The sequence below is a fragment of the Homo sapiens genome, chromosome 10 (genome assembly GCF_000001405.40).
Source record: "Homo sapiens chromosome 10, GRCh38.p14 Primary Assembly".
NCBI lineage: Eukaryota > Metazoa > Chordata > Mammalia > Primates > Hominidae > Homo > Homo sapiens.
The window spans coordinates 109,782,170-109,802,211 of NC_000010.11; the positions used below are offsets into that span (position 1 = coordinate 109,782,170).

Consider the following 20,042-nt stretch of genomic DNA (forward strand, 5'->3'; position numbering starts at 1 on the left):
CCATGGGAGAAAAATCAGTGTAGGACTCTCAGCTTTTATCCTAGTCCTGCTCTTTATTCTGTGATCAAAGGATAAATTTTCTGGAAACAGGAAAAATTGCCATGTTCTACAAGCTTCCTGCATATAAATTTTGTCCACCAAGTAAAGCTCTTTCCCCTAAACAGCACCTGTTTTCCCATTATGTGTTTATGGCAATTTCTCTGAAGTCCATTTTTTTTTTATATAAATCCTTGTAGAACATTGTAGAAATCTTATCAAGTTCAAAATATGTGAAATATAAGCATTATTACATTGAGGCAAATCAATGTCCTTAATACGTAGCACTCTAGAGTCTAAGGAAAAACATTGTGGTTTTCTATACTGACATTGTCAGATAAAAATATCCCTTGACTTTACTCAAAACTTCATTGAAAAAAACTACCATGGTTTAATAATCCAATGGTACTTCACATATAGAGCACTTCTACTTTATAAGCTCTTTCACAAGTATCCATTCTTTTGATCTTCAATTTGGGTATTATTAAGTTCATTTTACAAATGAAAGATCTAAAGCTCACAAAAGAAGAAATAATTTGCTCAGTGGCACAGAGTTACCAAGGGGCAGGCTAAAACACAATCTGGGATCTGACTCCAAAACCCTGGATTCTTCCTGTTCTACTAACCCGTACTCCTCAGGGCTTTTGGGAGCCTCTAGAAACATGTAGATGAAGAGTTTTATACGGTGAATACATCCTCTACACATGCCAGGCCAAAAAGCCACACGTTCAAATAGAGACAAAGTATTAATAAAAACATTATTTTAGTCAGTGGCCCAGATGAAAAAGTTTCTTGTCTACTTTCAAGCATTTTTCATGCATAGGGAAAAAAATCATGCAAATTAATTTGGACTTTGTCTCCCAGTTGAAGGAATTAAGGCTTCATCTGATTACTCGAAAACTGGGTCCATTCTTCCTGTTCTTTCTGCAGAGCCGTCTTCCCCCTAGCTTCCTTACCTCACTAGGCTAGAGTGCTTAAGGGTGTTTCCCTGGGCTTTGTGAAAATAGAGTGTTGGAGTATTAATAACTTACTGTTGATTAGAGAAGATCGAGCACTATAAATCCTCACAATGTCTTGAGCAGGCGCTCTCTGTCTTCTGCAGCTGACTGTTTCTCTTTGCCAATTACAAGAAACCATCAAAACCTGCAAAAAAATTGACCTTAAGGATGACAAAGAGTAAAGGAAATAACCTTGCAAACATAGAATTAATACCCTACAAACGGGGACCTCAGTAAAGAACTTAAAACTCATCACTGCCCCTTGAGGGTAGGCAGGACCTGACACTTGCTTCTAATCAATAGAATATAGCTAAGGTAATGAGACGCCACTCCTATGATTAGGTTGCATCATAGAATACTCGTCTTTCTAGCAGATACTCCTGGCTGGCTCAAAGAAAGGAACAGCCATGTTGCAAATGTCCATGTGGAAAGAAACTGCAAGTAGCCTGTAGGAACTGTGAGTGGCCTTTAGGCACTGCGGGCAGCCTCCAGCAGCTGACAGCAATCTCCAAATAACAGCCAGAAAGAAACTGGGGCCCTCAGTCCTACAACCATAAGAAAATGGATTTCATCAACAGAACAATGGAAAACTAATACATCATACAAAGGTACATTCACATAAAGAATTAATAATACCTGAGTGGGTGAGTTAGACATCAAATGGGTACACAGCTGTGTTTTCAACAATTTTTCTTAAGAGCTAAATGACCCTCGTTAGGTGGATTTTCCTCTCTACATCTTGGTTACTGCATCCTTAAGTGGGGTTAATACTACCTCACAGAGTTGCTGGAGGATTTGGATGACATAGTATGTATAAATCATGTATGTTTTCCCCCACAACCTAGGTTTATTTTCTGTTTTGGGGGGGTTTTCAAAGCAGCTATGCCCCCAAAGGTCAGTAATGATCGTATTTGCAAGTAATATCTTCATTAACTAAGCTTATGCTGAATAGTCCCCGACTCGATTTGTCTTAGACATCAGAGGTATAAAAATCGTGGAAAGCACCAGCACTATTCCCACCCCCACCCAAAATCCAAACTAAAATAACCCACCATTACCCTTCACAAAGTCTTGGGGGGAGAGGCAGTATATTAGTTTTCTGTTGCTTTGTAACACACTACACCAATTTAGAGGCTTAAAAACGACACCCATTTACTATCTTAACATTCCTGTGGGGCAGAAATCCAGGCATAGCTTAATTGGGTTCTCTGCTTAGTGACTCACAAGACTGCAATCAAGGTACTGGCCACACTGGTAAAAGAGCTTCCAAGCTCCTTCAGGCTGTTGAAAGAGTTCATTTTCCTGCAGTGTGGAATCGTGGGGACTTGCTTCTTCAAGGCGAGTTGGGGACAGTCTCTGATCTCAGGGAGAGACCCCAGTCCCTCTCTTAAGGGCTTCCACCAGGTTAATTCAGGTCTACTTAGAATAATCTCCTTTTTGATTAACTCAAAATGAACAGATTTCAGGTATTAATTACATTTTCAAAAATCCCTTAATTTTTGCTATGAGAATGCTTTTTCCACAGCCCTTTTTGCCAGAATATCTGTCTTCTCCAGTCCTGAACATAGACACTGATCAGTGCTTATAGGGTCAGGGGATCAAGACTGACGATGGGACTCTAGAGATTCTTTCCTCACTTTCACTTTTATATTGAACCCCTTGGGATTAAATAACTAAGTGTTCTAGACATACCTCCAGTGTTATATAATTCTCAACCTATCTAATACAGAGTCTAATACAACCTGTCCTCTATACAAAACCAGTCAATAGTGTACACAGTATTTGATGCTTTTATAATTTGGAAAGGTAATAAAATAAGGGAGATGAACTAAATCAAGTTTGCTGTAATTCACCCTCTAATATGCTTTGATTTCAAAATTCCAAATATTTTTGAGGACCCACCGTAAGTCTTTTTCATGGGTTTTTATAGGAAGTACATGTCCCTGGTTTAAAGATACTCTGGTGAGGTTCTCTTGCCCTGAGGAGGGGCTCTAAGAATGAGGCCCTTGCATAGGCAGTCTGGGAGAAGGGCAAAAGCAGAAGGGATTCTGTGAGTCTGGAAAGTTCCTCAGCACCTTCTTAACTCTGAGCGTAAGTGCTAGGGTGTACTGGGGCATGCCTGAGCTGCCAGAAGGAATATAGACACATCTACAGTCTTAATTTTGACAAACAAAACTGGTCAGTGAACTGGAAGAGTTAAGTATTAGTTAAGGGGAATCTGAAACTTCCTTCCCAGGTCAAAAATATCTTCACCACCCACCATATCTTTTATGCAACACATATGTCCTGAGTAGGCACTCTGGGCCAGGAGGGATTTCTACAGTGTACTAGACACAGGCATTACTTTCAATGACCCTGGTGATCCTCAGGGCAAAGAAAACTATAATTACCAGAAAGGTTAATATGTTGAACTTTATATATTGGAAAAATATGGCACCAAATCTGAACTCAGTGATTTACCAGCTGTATAACCTCAAGATAACTTGAGGTCAGGAGTTCAAGACCTGCCTGGCCAACATGGTGAAACCCCATCTCTACTAAAAATACAAAAATTAGCCGGGTGTGGTGGTACACACCTGTAATCCCAGCTACTTGGGAGGCTGAGGCAGGAGAATTGCTTGAAACTGGGATGTGGTGGTTGCAGTGAGCCAAGATCGCACCACTGCATTCCAGCCTGGGTATCAGAGTAACCCTGTCTCCAAAAAAATAAATAAAATAAAATGGGCATGTTATGTATAACATACAGGTAATAATTAAGTAGATTTACTAAGTCTCCTTAATTACTAGCTGGGCAATAATAGTACCCACTTTCTTGGAATGTTATGAAGATAAGGTATGTAAAGCATCTGACACAGAGCCTAGCATAGGAAACTTTATTTTCCCTTCCCAGTCACATGGCTTTTATTTCTGAAGATTCTTGTAGAGAGCAGGCCAATGAGAGGACAGAATCTAGGATGGGTATAATTAGAGATGGTGGGGACCTGCGAGGCCAGACCTAGGTGTGGATCTCAGTATAAGACATGTAGCATTCAGGGCTGTGCAAGAATTTGTTTGGCTGGAACAATGAAAGGAGGACTGAGGACCAACAAATTCAACCTCACCAGATATCACTGCAAGACTCTAGAACTAATGACAACTGGAGACCTTCTGAGACCTTGAGTGAGTTCAGCATGGGCCTTGGCAAGAGTCTCTGTATCCTGAAAGATGCAGTCCTGGCTCTGCGGGAAATTGTAAGACTCATCTTATTTTTCTTGGTGCTTTTCGTCTTTTTCAGAGGCTTTACTGCCTGGGAATAGGGCTGGCTTATGAATCCAGGAGTTAATGTTCTATATTTTCATGAAGCTGGGAATGCATTTTTCTTAGGGAAAACAGGTTGGCTTACCATAAAGGTATTATATTTCAAGGTAAAATGGAAATAGTATGATTCTTGGGATGCAATCCACAGGCAGAAACATCTCTAGGAGAAGGCAAGGTCTCACTGACTTCCTCTCTCTTTGCCTGACCCCCATACCACCCCAGGGAAAAGACCATTCTCCATCCTCTGATGACCTGTCACTTTTCTGGAGAGAGGAATATGTGACTGTCCAATTGAAACCCAACTGGGTTTGCACTTCTAACTCTCAGGTTATTTGATGCTGAATCATCAGGCCACAGAATCCTATAAGAATCTCAGCTTCTACCTACCTAGGGAAAAACATGGAGACAAACAGGGAAGAAGAGGAGTCAAATTATGTTTATTTCAAAGTAGAGGACATTATTATTTTATACCATCCAGGATCATTTCACCCTTCTTTGGATAAATCATGATCTAAATTTCCTTTGCTAGATTACCCCTCCCATACTCTCAGTCTATGAGTTTCATATAGCAGTGGCCTTAATCACCCTTCCAGGGTTGGGTACTGAATAGCCTAAATCAATGGTTCTCAAACATGGAAGCACGACAGTCAACTGAGTAGCTTTTAGAAAACGCTAATGCTTGTATCCCATCCCCAGATATTCTGTCATAATTCTGTCACAGTCATTAAATGTTTTTTAACTACTCTAGGTAACTATAATGTGAAGCCAGAATACAGAACCACTGGTTTACCTCCTCAGTGCATCCTATCCTCCTGGCTCTAGTGATTGCTTCAGAAATAGGAATTCAACATTACCTAACAGAGGGAAACCTGGACCCCAAACTTTTGTCTATTTGGAAGAGGAGGAAAGGAAGACAAAGTTCTCTTTTTCTGGCTAGATGTGAAACTAAAAAGATGTAAAGTTTGGAGATTCTGTAACCCCGAGGAGCATGAGAGGTGCACAGCCTGTGCAGAGAGAGGCAAAAAGATGGGTTCTGGTGAAAATGTTTTAAACTATACGTGAAGCCAACATCAATTCTGGACTTCGAAGCTCTCTGAGCCAGTACATTCTTTTTTTGGCTTCAGATGATTGGGATGGGAAGAGGGCTGTCTTTTGTTTTTTGTTACTTGGCAGCAGGAACTGTCCTAACCAAAACACTGCCACTGGCAAATTCATACCAAAAATCTAGTTTCCCAGGCTGGTCTCCACAGAAACATAGATCAGTCAGAGTTATGGATTTTTTTAGGGCTAGAATAGAACTCATCAAGTTTCTAGTATAAAACACTTATTTTACAGATTGGAAGACTTAAAGTCTACAGTGTTTTAGAAAAAGGCCCACTAGTAGGTGACAAGTTATATATCAGGATCCAATTTCTTGACTTGAAGTCAAATGACTTTATTCCACTACTATATACTTCTTTAATAATATATTAAGAATGTATTTGGCAGTCATTTTTTTCATTTTTAATATTTTTAATTGACATACTGTAATTGTACACATTTGTGGGGTATGATTTGATGTTTCAATACATATCTATGTTGTATAATGATCCAATCAGGGTAGTTGGTATATTCATTACCTCATGTATTCATCATTCATTTGTGGTAAGAACATTTAAAACACTCTCTTCTACCTATTTTGTAATAAACAATATTTTACTGTAAATTATAGTCACCCTACTATGCAATAGAACACCAGAATTTATTTCTCCTAATTGTAACTTTGTTCCCATTAAACAACCTCTCCCCTTACTCTTCTCCCCAGTCTCTAGTAAGCACTGTTCTACTCTCTGCTTCTGTGATAGCAACTTTTTTTAGGTTCCATGTATAAGTGAGATATATGGTATTTGTCTTTCTGTGTCTGGCTTATTTCAGGTTCTCCAGGTTCATCCATGATGTTACAAATGATCACATTTTATTCTTTTTTATGGGTGAATGGTATTCCATTATGTATGTATAACACATTTTCTTTATCCATTCATTCATTGTTGGACACTTAGGTTGATTCCATACCTTGGCTATTTTTGAAAAGTGCTGCAATAAACATGGGAGGGCTAGTATCGCTTCAACATACTGATTTCATTTCCTTTGGACATATACCCAGTATTGGAATCATATGGTAGATCATATGGTATTTCTATTTTTTATTTTTTGAGGAACCTCCATACTGTTTTCCACAATGGCTGTACCAATTTCTATTCCCACCAACGGTGTGTAAGCAGTTAGCTTTTCTCCATATCCTCACCAACACTTGTTTTCTTTTGTCTTTTTGATAACGTCCATTCTAACTGAAGTGAAGTGGTATCTCATTATGGTTTTAATGTGCATTTCCCTGAAGATTAGTTATGTTGAGCATTTTTTCATGTACCTATTGGTCATTTGTACGTCTTTTTCTGAGAGATGCCTATTAAGATCTTTTGTCCATTTTTTAATCAAGTTATTTGGTTTTTTGCTGTTGAGTTTTTAAGTTTCTAATATAGTCTGGATATTAACCTCTTGTCAGATGTGTAGTTTGCAATTATTTTCTCCCATTCCACAGGCTGTCTCTTCACTCTGTTAATAGTTTCCTTTATTGTGGAAAAGCTTTTCAGTTTGACATAATCCCATTTGTTTATTTTTGCTTCTGTTATCTATGCTTTAGAGGTCTTATTTTAAAAATCTTTGTCCAGCCTAATTAGTGATTTTTGAGAACCAACTATGTGCTCAGTCCTAGGGGTTCTTTACTGTAAATCAAAGAATGAATGAATGAGTGAATGAATTAATAAATAAATAAGTCAGCTTTCCAATTATTCATTTACCTAACCAATATTTCTAAGAACCTTCTATGTGGAAGAAACTACATTATAGAAGTAGTAGGCATGATTCTCATTTTCAAAGAGCTTATATTTAATACCATAAATGCAAGAGATAGCTACTGAATATCTGTTATGCATTCTCCAACCTAGTTGAAGACAGAAGATACGACCATAAGATTTGTGGTAAACCTTACAAACTTGGAGTAAAGCACAACCTCGGATTTAAATCCTGCTTCTTTCACCTATTACCATGTACTAACTTTTAACCTTGAATGACTGACTTAATTTCTTTAATTTCTCCATCTCTTCACCTTAAAATTTAGTTAATATGCGCCTTCACATGGCAAAGATTCAGTTAAATGCCGTACAGTTGAATTCTTAACACTGTGTTTGATTAGTATTAGTCAGTGAATGAACTAATTTGTTATCATTATGCATATGGCAAACTACATAATATAATCCATGGTTTAAATATCATACATAGTACCCTGAACTATATGAGACAACACAAAGCACTCTGTGGTAAGTGATGGATGTACAGCCTTCAGAGTTTGCAAACTGTCAGCTTGTGGGCTGAATCCAGTTGGCAACCATGTTTTGTATGATCCACTCAGGGCTTTTTAAAACATTCAAATTGTTTCTCAACACCTAAAACTCAGGTATTTTATATAAAAATCTAGATTTTTCTTCTCTCCTGACAACTCAGAAGATCTGACAGTCCTGGGGCTAGACTTCAGCATGGCAACAATTAGCTAGAGCTGAGAAGTGTCTGCCTGGTTCAGAAGGACCCACCTTAAACCTGTGTTGCAGACCCTACTTATTTGTATTTTCTGTCCAGCCCTTGTAGGCTTTAGAGTTTTGGAACTCAAATCATCACTTAACAAAGATATTCCTAGAATCCCTACATCCACTCTATGCTAACACATTTTTTCACACACACACACACATGCACACACAGTCTCCTTGGTCACATTTATTGGAAAATGCTTCATAATAACTCCTCAGCCACCTGAGGCCTCACAACTCACTTATGGTTCTAGAAACATTTCAAGGAATAAATCTGTCTAATTGTTTTAACCTAATATTTCCCAAATATATTTCACTGTAGAAAATGTTCTCCCAAAGAAGACTTGGTAACCCTATCTGCACCAGTGTTTTTTGGAAGACAGCCAGGAATTATTAGAATAAGTTTTAAAGGATTCTTTAAAACTTATGTGTGTTCATAAGAAAAGGAGGTTCATGAGATGTGGTGTATATCACAATCTCTGTCCATTGCATAGACCTATTCTCTAAACGAGGTTTTCAGGGTAAAGCTTATAGACAATCTGGGAATGAAGAGAGGTTGGGGAAACTGAATATATGAAAGATAGAAGACAAAGGAATATATTCTGGTCTCTAGTTTTAAAAAGAGGGCTTGGGGAATTAAGCCAAGTAAAATTTTGCAACCATTCCTTGAAGAGAAGCAACTTCAAGAGAATAACACTAGAGAAAGCAAAAATCACTGCCAGCCCTGGCATAGAACCTCAGTGTTGATCTGCTGTTTCGTGTGTCTTTGCTCTTTCTCCATATGCCACATTATGACAAGCGAATAACAGATTTTCCTTTTTGCGATAAACAGACTGGAGAATTTAGGGACTAGTGGTCTACTTTTATTTCACAAACTGAACTCAGATTGATCAGTAAACTTCCAGTTGTGTGGGCCGGCAGACAAATCATTTGGTTACTGGCTTCTGTCACTCAGAGAAGCTCTGCTCTGTGCCATGGGCTTGGCAAATTTTAGTAAGTGCCAATAATTTACAGCTGGGTTAATCTGGCAGGGCATAAGTCTTTTATGAGCTGATTTTTTATTTTGAGTGCTGAATGAATAGCTATTAATTAGAGAAAATTGAAAAGAACAGGTAGAAGAAAGACAACTGAAAAAATCAATTAGAGGTAGTACTAAGGGCTAATATGTTGATATATTTCTTACAATCTTTTTTCCAAAGAATATGTAGCAGGTATGTATACACACACAGTATATATGTATGTATACCTGTATAGATAAATATATACATGTATTTCTGTGTAACATGAATTTTTAACCACAGATGTAAAAAGATTCTATAAAACATATTTTTAATTTATTCAAACTATCCAAATGCCCATCAAAAGCAGAATGGAAAAATTGATTTGTTATGTTCATATAATATAGTATTACTATATATAATATATATTATATTCATATAATATATATTATATAATACATATTATATTTATATAATATGTATTATTATATAATTATATTATATTATATATAATATGTGTATTGTATATGTGTATTATACATATATAATATTATTATACATATATGTATTATTATGTATAATATATATTATATTCATATAATGTGTATTATTATATATATTTATATAATATGTATTATTATATATATTATATTCATATATGTATTATATAATATATTACATATAATATATTTATATTCATCTAATATATATTATATTCATATATTATATTATGTATATATTTATATATTGTATGCATATAATTATGTATACTATATATTATATTATGTATTACATTATATTTGAGGTTTGGGAACCTCAAATATAATTTGTACAGTCTCTAGGCTGCACTATATATTATATATTATGTATTATATATGTATATATTATATTCATATATTATATATTATATTATGTATTATATTATGTATGTATATATGTATATTTCTCAATTATATTTGGCTGTAGAAAATTTTCTCCCAAAGAATACTTGGTAACCCTATCTGCACCAGTATTTTGGGAAGACAGCAAGGGATTACTGGAATCTATTTTAAAGAACCTGTGTGTTCATAAGAAGAGAAAGTTCATAAGATACGGTGTATATCATGATCATATATTATCATATATAATTAATATACTACATGTATTAGTTCACTTTCATGCTGCTGATAACAACGTACTCGAAAATGAGAAGAAAAAGAGGTTTAATTGGACTTACACTTCCACATGGCTGGGGAGGCCTCAGAATCATGGTAGGAGGCAAAAGCACTTCTCACATGGCGGCAGCAAGACAAAAAGAGGAGGAAGGAAAAGTGGAAACCCCTGATAAACCTGTAAGATCTCTTGAGACGTATTCACTATCACAAGAATAGCACAGGAAAGACTGGCCCCCATGATTCAATTGCCCTCCCCTGGGTTTCTCCCACAATTGATGGGAATTCTGGGAGACACAATTCAAATTGAGATTTGGGTGGGGACAGAGCCAAACCATGTAATTCCTCCCCTGGCCCCTCTGAATCTCATGTCCTCACATTTCAAAACCAATCATGCCTTCCCAACAGTCCCCCAAAGTCTTAACTCATTTCAGCATTAACCCAAAAGTCCACAGTCCAAAGTCTCATCTGAGACAAGGCAAGTCCCTTCCACCTAGCAGGCTGTAAAATCAAAAGCAAGCTAGTTACTTCCCAGATACAATGGGAGTATGGGTATTGGGTAAATACACTTGTTCCAAATGGGAGAAATTGGCCAAAACAAACGGCTTACAGGGCCCATGCAAGTCTGAAATCCAGTGGGGCAGTCAAATTTTAAAACTCCAAAATTATCTCCTTTGACCCCAGGCCTCATATCCAGGTCACACTGATACAAGAGGTGGGTTCCCATGGTGTTGGGCAGCTCTGCCCCTGTGGCTATGCAGGGTACAGCCCCCCTCCTGGCTGTTTCATGGGCTAGCATTGAGTGTCTGCAGCTTTTCCAGGCATACAGTGCAAGCCGTAGGTGGATCTACCATTCTGGGGTCTTGAGGACAGTGGCCCTCTTCTCACAGCTACCCTGGGCAGTGCCCCAGTAGGGACTCTGTGTGGGGGCTCCAACCCCACATTTCCCTTCCACACTGCCCTAGCAGAGGTTCTCCGTGAGGGTCCCATGACTGCAGCAAACTTTTCCTGGGCATCCAGGTGTTTCCATACATCTTCTGAAATCTAGGTGGAGGTTCCCAAACCTCAATTCTTGACTTCTGTGTACCCACAGGCTCAACACCAGATGGCAGTTGCCAAGGCTTAGGGCTTCTACCCTCTTAAGCCACAGCCCAAGCTGCATGTTGGCCCCTCTCAGCCATGGCTAGAGCAGCTAGGACACAGGGTACCATGTCTTTAGGCTGGACACAGCATGAGGACCCTGGGCCCAGCCCACGAAACCACTTTTTCCTCCTGGGCCTCCAGGCCTGTGATGGGAGGGGCTGCTGTGAAGACCTCCAACATGTCCTGGAGACATTTCCCCATGGTCTTGGGGATTAACATTAGACTCCTTGCTACTTATGCAAATTTCTGCAGCTGGCTTGAATTTCCCCCCAGAAAACTAGTTTTTCTTTTCTATCACATAGTCAGGCTGCAAATTTTCCAAATTCTTATGCTCTGTTTCCCTTTTAAAACTGAATGCCTTTAGCAGTACCCAAGGCACCTCTTGAATGCTTAAATGCTTAGAAATTTCTTCTGCCAGATACCCTAAATAATCTTTCTCAAGTTCAAAGTTCCACAAATATCTATGGCAAGGGCAAAATGCCACCAGTCTCTTTCCTAAAACATAACAAGAGTCACCTTTGCTTCAGTTCCCAACAAGTTCCTCATCTCCATCTGAGAGCACCTCAGCCGGAACCACACTGTTCATATCACTATCAGCATTTTTGTCAAAGCCATTCAACAAGTTTCTAGTAAGTTTTGAACTTTCCCACATTTCCCTGTCTTCTTCTGAGCCCTCCAAACTGTTCCAGCCTCTGCCTGTAACCCAGTTCCATAGTCACTTCCACATTTTTGGGTATCTTTTCAGCAGTGCCCCACTCTACTGGTACCAATTTACTGTATTAGTTTGCTTTCATGCTGCTGATAACAACATGCCCAAAAATGGGAAGAAAAAGATGTTTAATGGACTTACAGTTCCACATGGCTGGGGAGGCCTCAGAATCATGGCAGGAGGTGAAAGGCACTCGACACATGGCGGTGGCAAGAGAAAATGAGGAGGAAGCAAAAGCAGAAACCCTTGATGAACCCATCAGATCTCTTGAGACTTATTAACTATCACAAGAATAGCACAGGAAAGACCAGCCCCCATGATTCAGTTACCTCCCCTGGGTTCCTCTTACAACACATAGGAATTCCAGGAGATACACTTCAACTTAGGATTTGGGTGGGGCCACAGCCAAACCATATCACTACAATTATAATATAATATATTATATTCATATTATTATATTATATATCTATAAATATTATATACATATTACATTCATATAATATGGTATTCATATACACAATGAGAATGAAATAATGAACTATGGATAAATTCCACAGAAACATAACGTTAAGAGAGCCAAATGCAAAAGAGTATACACTATATTCTTCTCTTAATATAGAGCACAAAAATAAACTCATGTATGCTGTCAGAAGTCAGGATAGTGGTTTTTCCCTGAGCACTGATACTCGGAAAGGTGCACAAGAGGATTCCTGGGGTGCGACAATGCTCTTATTTCAATTTCACATGTAATATTCAGCACAATAGACTAGATGCTAAGCCATAAAACAAGTATCAATAAATTTTTTTAAATTGAAGTTGAAGTATGTTCTCTGATCATAATAGAATTAAATTAGAAAATAATTTTTAAAATCTTTAAAATCTCCAAATATTTAAAATGTAAATAACACACTTCTAAATTACCTATGTGTCAAAGAAGAAATCACAAAAGAAATGAGAAAAATGTTGAGTTGTTGTTACATAGAGGTGTCAGTGTATGAAGATTTATTGATCTGACAGTAAGGTGCACGTTTTTTATATCTATTTATATATAAAACTTTATAAGTTTAATTTTTAAAAGTTATATAAGCTATTTATATGGGACAGTCACAAGATGCTGCCCATAGTCATTTATTTCTGCTCCCCCTTTGAGAGACTGAATTGTTTTTCATGTTCTCTTACTTCTCTTCTTCCTTCCTTTTTCTCAGCCACCATTACCACCTTTGTCATTTAATACAGAATATTTTTTACCTAGTCAATTAACTTTTCACAGATCAAATTTAATTGACAGGATTCTAAAATATAATATATTTCAACAATTACTTTGAGTAAGATTATAAACTATGGATTAAAGTAAGCAACTACCTATCTTGACCATAATTTTCTTTTTTCTTCTTTCTTTCTTTATTTATTTATTATTATTATACTTTAAGTTTTAGGGTACATGTGCACAATGTGCAGGTTAGTTACATACGTATACACGTGCCACGCTGGTGCGCTGCACCCACTAACTCGTCATCTAGCATTAGGTATATCTCCCAATGCTATTCCTCCCCCCTCCCCCACCCCACAACAGTCCCCAGAGGGTGATGTTCCCCTTCCTGTGTCCATGTGTTCTTCTCATTGTTCAATTCCCACCTATGAGTGAGAATATGCGGTGTTTGGTTTTTTGTTCTTGTGATAGTTTACTGAGAAATGATTTCCAATTTCATCCATGTCCCTACAAAGGACGTGAACTCATCATTTTTTATGGCTGCATAGAATTCCATGGTGCATATGTGCCACATTTTCTTAATCCAGTCTATCATTGTTGAACATTTGGGTTGGTTCCAAGTCTTTGCTATTGTGAATAATGCCGCAATAAACATACGTGTGCATGTGTCTTTATAGCAGCATGATTTATAGTCCTATGGGTATATACCCAGTAATGGGATGGCTGGGTCAAATGGTATTTCTAGTTCTAGATCCCTGAGGAATCGCCACACTGACTTCCACAATGTTTGAACTAGTTTACAGTCCCACCAACAGTGTAAAATTGTTCTTATTTCTCCACATCCTCTACAGCACCTGTTGTTTCCTGACTTTTTAATGATTGCCATTCTAACTGGTGTGAGATGGTATCTCACTGTGGTTTTGATTTGCATTTCTCTGATGACCAGTGATGATGAGCATTTTTTCATGTGTTTTTGGCTGCATAAATGTCTTCTTTTGAGAAGTGTCTGTTCATGTCCTTCGCCCACTTTTTGATGGGGTTGTTTGATTTTTTTCTTGTAAATTTGTTTGAGTTCATTGTAGATTCTGGATATTAGCCCTTTGTCAGATGAGTAGGTTGTGAAAATTTTCTCCCATTTTGTAGGTTGCCTGTTCACTCTGATGGTAATTTCTTTTGCTGTGCAGAAGCTCTTTAGTTTAATTGGATCCCATTTGTCAAGTTTGGCTTTTGTTGCCATTGCTTTTGGTGTTTTAGACATGAAGTCCTTGCCCATGCCTATGTCCTGAATGGTATTGCCTAGGTTTTCTTCTAGGGTTTTTATGGTTTTAGGTCTAACGTTTAAGTCTTTAATCCATCTTGAGTTGATTTTTGTATAAGGTGTAAGGAAGGGATCCAGTTTCAGCTTTCTACATATGGCTAGCCAGTTTTCCCAGCACCATTTATTAAATAGGGAATCCTTTCCCCATTGCTTGTTTTTCTCAGATTTGTCAAAGATCTGATAGTTGTAGATATATGGTGTTATTTCTGAGAGCTCTGCTCTGTTCCATTGATCTATATCTCTGCTTTGGTACCAGTACCATGCTGTTTTGGTTACTGTAGCCTTGTAGTATAGTTTGAAGTCAGGTAGTGTGATGCCTCCAGCTTTGTTCTTTTGGCTTAGGATTGACTTGGTGATGCGGGCTCTTTTTTGGTTCCATATGAACTTTAAAGTAGTTTTTTCCAATTCTGTGAAGAAATTCATTGGTAGTTTGATGAGGATGGCATTGAATCTGTAAATTACCTTGGGCAGTATGGCCATTTTCACAATATTGATTCTTCCTACCCATGAGCATGGAATGTTCTTCCATTTGTTTGTATCCTCTTTTATTTCCTGGAGCAGTGGTTTATAGTTCTCCTTGAAGAGGTCCTTCACATCCCTTGTAAGTTGGATTCCTAGGTATTTTATTCTCTTTGAAGCAATTGTGAATGGGAGTCTACTCATGATTTGGCTCTCTGTTTGTCTATTGTTGGTATATAAGAATGCTTGTGATTTTTGTACATTGATTTTGTATCCTGAGACTTTGCTGAAGTTGCTTATCAGCTTAAGGAAATTTTGGGCTGAGACAATGGGGTTTTCTAGATATACAATCATGTCGTCTGCAAACAGGGACAATTTGACTTCCTCCTTTCCTAATTGAATACCCTTTATTTCCTTCTCCTGCCTAATTGCCCTGACCAGAACTTCCAACACTATGTTGAATAGGAGTGGTGACAGAGAGCATCCCTGTCTTGTGCCAGTTTTCAAAGGGAATGCTTCCAGTTTTTGCCCATTCAGTATGATATTGGCTGTGGGTTTGTCATAGATAGTTCTTATTATTTTGAAATATATCCCATCAATTCCTAATTTATTGAGAGTTTTTAGCATGAAGGGTTGTTGAATTTTATCAAAGGCCTTTGCTGCATCTATTGAGATAATCATGTGGTATTTGTCTTTGGTTCTGTTTATATGCTGGATTACATTTATTGATTTGCATATATTGAACCAGCCTTGCATCCCAGGGATGAAGCCCACTTGATCATGGTGGATAAGCTTTTTGATGTGCTGCTGGATTCGTTTTGCCAGTATTGTATTGAGGATTTTTGCATCAATGTTCATCAAGGATATTGGTCTAAAATTATCTTTTGTTGTTGTGTCTCTGCCCGGCTTTGGTATCAGGATGATGCTGGCCTCATAAAATGAGTTAGGGAGGATTCCCTCTTTTTCTATTGATTGGAATAGTTTCAGAAGGAATGGTACCAGTTCCTCCTTGTACCTCTGGTAGAATTCGGCTGTGAATCCATCTGGTCCTGGACTCTTTTTGGTTGGTAAGCTATTGATTATTGCCACAATTTCAGATCCTGTTATTGGTCTATTCAGAGATTCAACTTCTTCCTGGTTTAGTCTTGGGAGAGTGTATGTGTTGAGGAATTTATCCATTTCTTCTAGATTTTCTAGTTTATTTGTGTAGAGTTGTTTGTAGTATTCTCTGATGGTAGTTTGTATTTCTGTGAGATCGGTGGTGATATCCCCTTTATCATTTTTTATTGCGTCTATTTGATTCTTCTCTCTTTTTTTCTTTATTAGTCTTGCTAGCGGTCTATCAATTTTGTTGATCCTTTCAAAAAACCAGCTCCTGGATTCATTAATTTTTTGAAGGGTTTTTTGTGTCTCTATTTCCTTCAGTTCTGCACTGATTTTAGTTATTTCTTGCCTTCTGCTAGCTTTTGAATGTGTTTGCTCTTGCTTTTCTAGTTCTTTTCATTGTGATGTTAGGGTGTCAATTTTGGATCTTTCCTGCTTTCACTTGTGGGCATTTAGTGCTATAAATTTCCCTCTACACACTGCTTTGAATGCGTCCCAGAGATTCTGGTATGTTGTGTCTTTGATCCCGTTGGTTTCAAAGAACATCTTTATTTCTGCCTTCATTTCATTATGTACCCAGTAGTCATTCAGGAGCAGGTTGTTCAGTTTCCATGTAGTTGAGTGGTTTTGAGTGAGATTCTTAATCCTGAGTTCTAGTTTGATTGCACTGTGGTCTGAGAGACAGTTTGTTATAATTTCTGTTCTTTTACATTTGCTGAGGAGAGCTTTACTTCCAAGTATGTGGTCAATTTCGGAATAGGTGTGGTGTGGTGCTGAAAAAAATGTATGTTCTGTTGATTTGGGGTGGAGAGTACTGCAGATGTCTATTAGGTCTGCTTGGTGCAGAGCTGAGTTCAATTCCTGGGTATCCTTGTTGACTTTCTGTCTCATTGATCTGTCTAATGTTGACAGTGGGGTGTTAAAGTCTCCCATTATTCATGTGTGGGAGTCTAAGTCTCTTTGTAAGTCACTCAGGACTTGCTTTATGAATCTGGGTGCTCCTGTATTGGGTGCATATATATTTAGGATAGTTAGCTCTTCTTGTTGAATTGATCCCTTTACCATTATGTAATGGCCTTCTTTGTCTCTTTTGATCTTTGTTGGTTTAAAGTCTGTTTTATCAAAGACTAGGATTGCAACCCCTGCCTTTTTTTGTTTTCCATTTGCTTGGTAGATCTTCCTCCATCCTTTTATTTTGAGCCTATGTGTGTCTCTGCACATGAGATGGGTTTCCTGAATACAGCACACTGATGGGTCTTGACTCTTTATCCAATTTGCCATTCTGTGTCTTTAATTGGAGCATTTAGTCCATTTACATTTAAAGTTAATATTGTTATGTGTGAATTCAACCCTGTCATTATGATGTTAGCTGGTAATTTTGCTCATTAGTTGATGCAGTTTCTTCCTAGTCTCGATGGTCTTTACATTTTGGCATGATTTTGCAGTGGCTGGTACCAGTTGTTCCTTTCCATGTTTAGCGCTTCCTTCAGGAGCTCTTTTAGGGCAGGCCTGGTGGTGACAAAATCTCTCAGCATTTGCTTGTCTGTAAAGTATTTTATTTCTCCTTCACTTATGAAGCTTAGTTTGGCTGGATATGAAATTCTGGGTTGAAAATTCTTTTCTTTAAGAATGTTGAATATTGGCCCCCATTCTCTTCTGGCTTATAGAGTTTCTGCCGAGAGATCCGCTGTTAGTCTGATGGGCTTCCCTTTGAGGGTAACCCGACCTTTCTCTCTGGCTGCCCTTAACATTTTTTCCTTCATTTTAACTTTGGTGAATCTGACAATTATGTGTCTTGGAGTTGCTCTTCTCGAGGAGTATCTTTGTGGTGTTCTCTGTATTTCCTGAATCTGAATGTTGGCCTGCATTGCTAGATTGGGGAAGTTCTCCTGGATAATATCCTGCAGAGTGTTTTCCAACTTGGTTCCATTCTCCCTGTCGCTTTCAGGTACACCAATCAAACGTTGATTTGGTCTTTTCACATAGTCCCATATTTCTTGGAGGCTTTGCTCATTTCTTTTTATTCTTTTTTCTCTAAACTTCCCTTCTCACTTCATTTCATTTATTTCATCTTCCATTGCTGATACCCTTTCTTCCAGTTGATCGCATCAGCTCCTGAGGCTTCTGCATTCTTCACGTAGTTCTCAAGCCTTGATTTTCAGCTCCATCAGCTCCTTTAAGCACTTCTCTGTATTGATTATTCTAGTTATACATTCTCTAAAATTTTTTTCAAAGTTTTCAACTTCTTTGCCTTTGGTTTTAATGTCCTCCCGTAGCTCAGAGTAATTTGATCATCTGAAGCCTTCTTCTCTCAGCTCATCAAAGTCATTCTCCATCCAGCTTTGTTCCGTTGCTGGTGAGGAACTGCATTCCCTTGGAGGAGGAGAGGCACTGTGCTTTTTAGAGTTTCCAGTTTTTCTGTTCTGTTTTTTCCCCATCTTTGTGGTTTTATCTACTTTTGGTCTTTGATGATGGTGATGTACAGATGGGTTTTTGGTGTGGATGTCCTTTCTGTTTGTTAGTTTCCCTTCTAACAGACAGGACCCTCAGCTGCAGGTCTGTTGGAGTACCCTGCCATGTGAGGTGTCAGTCTGCTCCTGCTGGAGGGTGCCTCCCAGCTAGGCTGCTCAGGGGTCAGGGGTCAGGGACCCACTTGAGGAGGCAGTCTGCCTGTTCTCAGATCTCCAGCTGCATACTGGGAGAACCACTGCTCTCTTCAAAGCTGTCAGACAGGGACATTTAAGTCTGCAGAGGTTACTGCTGTCTTTTTGTTTGTCTGTGCCCTGCCCCCAGAGGTGGAGCCTACAGAGACAGGCAGGCCTCCTTGAGCTGTGGTGGGATCCACCCAGTTGGAGCTTCCCGGCTGCTTTGTTTACCTAAGCAAGCCTGGGCAATGGCGGGCGCCCCTCCCCCAGCCTCGCTGCCGCCTTGCAGTTTGATCTCAGACTGCTGTGCTAGCAATCAGCGAGACTCCGTGGGCATAGGACCCTCCGAGCCAGGTGCGGGATATAATCTCGTGGTGTGCCGTTTCTTAAGCCCGTCAGAAAAGCGCAATATTTGGGTGGGAGTGACCCGATTTTCCAGGTGCTGTCTGTCACCCCTTTCTTTGACTAGGAAAGGGAACTCCCTGGCCCCTTGCACTTCCCAAGTGAGGCAATGCCTCACCCTGCTTTGGCTCGCGCATGGTGCGCGCACCCACTGACCTGCTCCCACTGTCTGGCACTCCCTAGTGAGATGAACCTGGTACCTCAGATGGAAATGCAGAAATCACCCATCTTCTATGTCGCTCACGCTGGAGCTGTAGACCGGAGCTGTTCCTATTCAGCCATCTTCTTGACCATAATTTTCAAATTTCTTTATGACATAATAAATCATTTCTAAATTTTAACCATGGATAAAATTAAATTATCTGTCCACAAAGGTAACATTATCTAGAAGTTGTAGGTTTTTCTCTGGTCATTTTTAAACATACAGTTCTACATAATATTAGAGCCAAAGGCAAGTAATCTGGACCTCTTCTTTTAACTGCTTTCAGTGGACAAATACTTAAAAATGAAAAATGTTGATACCAAGAAGCAATTCTTTTTAGCAAAGAACCAGTTGAAAGCACTGGATTTGCAGTGATCTCTAAATATGGGTTAGTGTTAGGTTAGTCTTTAATGAAAATTAAAACAGCATATCAAAATATGTATGATGCATTTAAAGAAGTGTTTATAGAACATATTAGAACCTTAAATGCTTACATTAAAAAAGAATAAAGGTATAAAAATCAATTATCTAAATTTCCATCTAAAGAAAGTAGAAAAAAATAAAGCAAATTAACCCCAAGGTAAAATTAAGAAAAAAATAGGCATATAGATACAATGGAATTGATGTAAAAGAATTTTACATCCAGCCAAACGAAGCTTCATATGCAAAAATAAATAAATAAATAAATAATTTTCAGATAAGCAAACGCTAAAAGAATTTGTTACCATCAGACCTTCCCTACAAGAGATC

At 38.4% G+C, this 20,042-nt stretch overlaps 1 annotated feature.

Annotated features, from left to right (window-relative positions):
* Positions 18,986-19,486: an enhancer, noted in NCBI's record as "H3K4me1 hESC enhancer chr10:111560913-111561413 (GRCh37/hg19 assembly coordinates)". NCBI's record gives its function as "activates a minimal SCP1, AML or CMV promoter by ChIP-STARR-seq in naive H9 embryonic stem cells {active_cell/tissue: H9 hESC(naive)}" and the evidence as "EXISTENCE:reporter gene assay evidence [ECO:0000049][PMID:30033119]".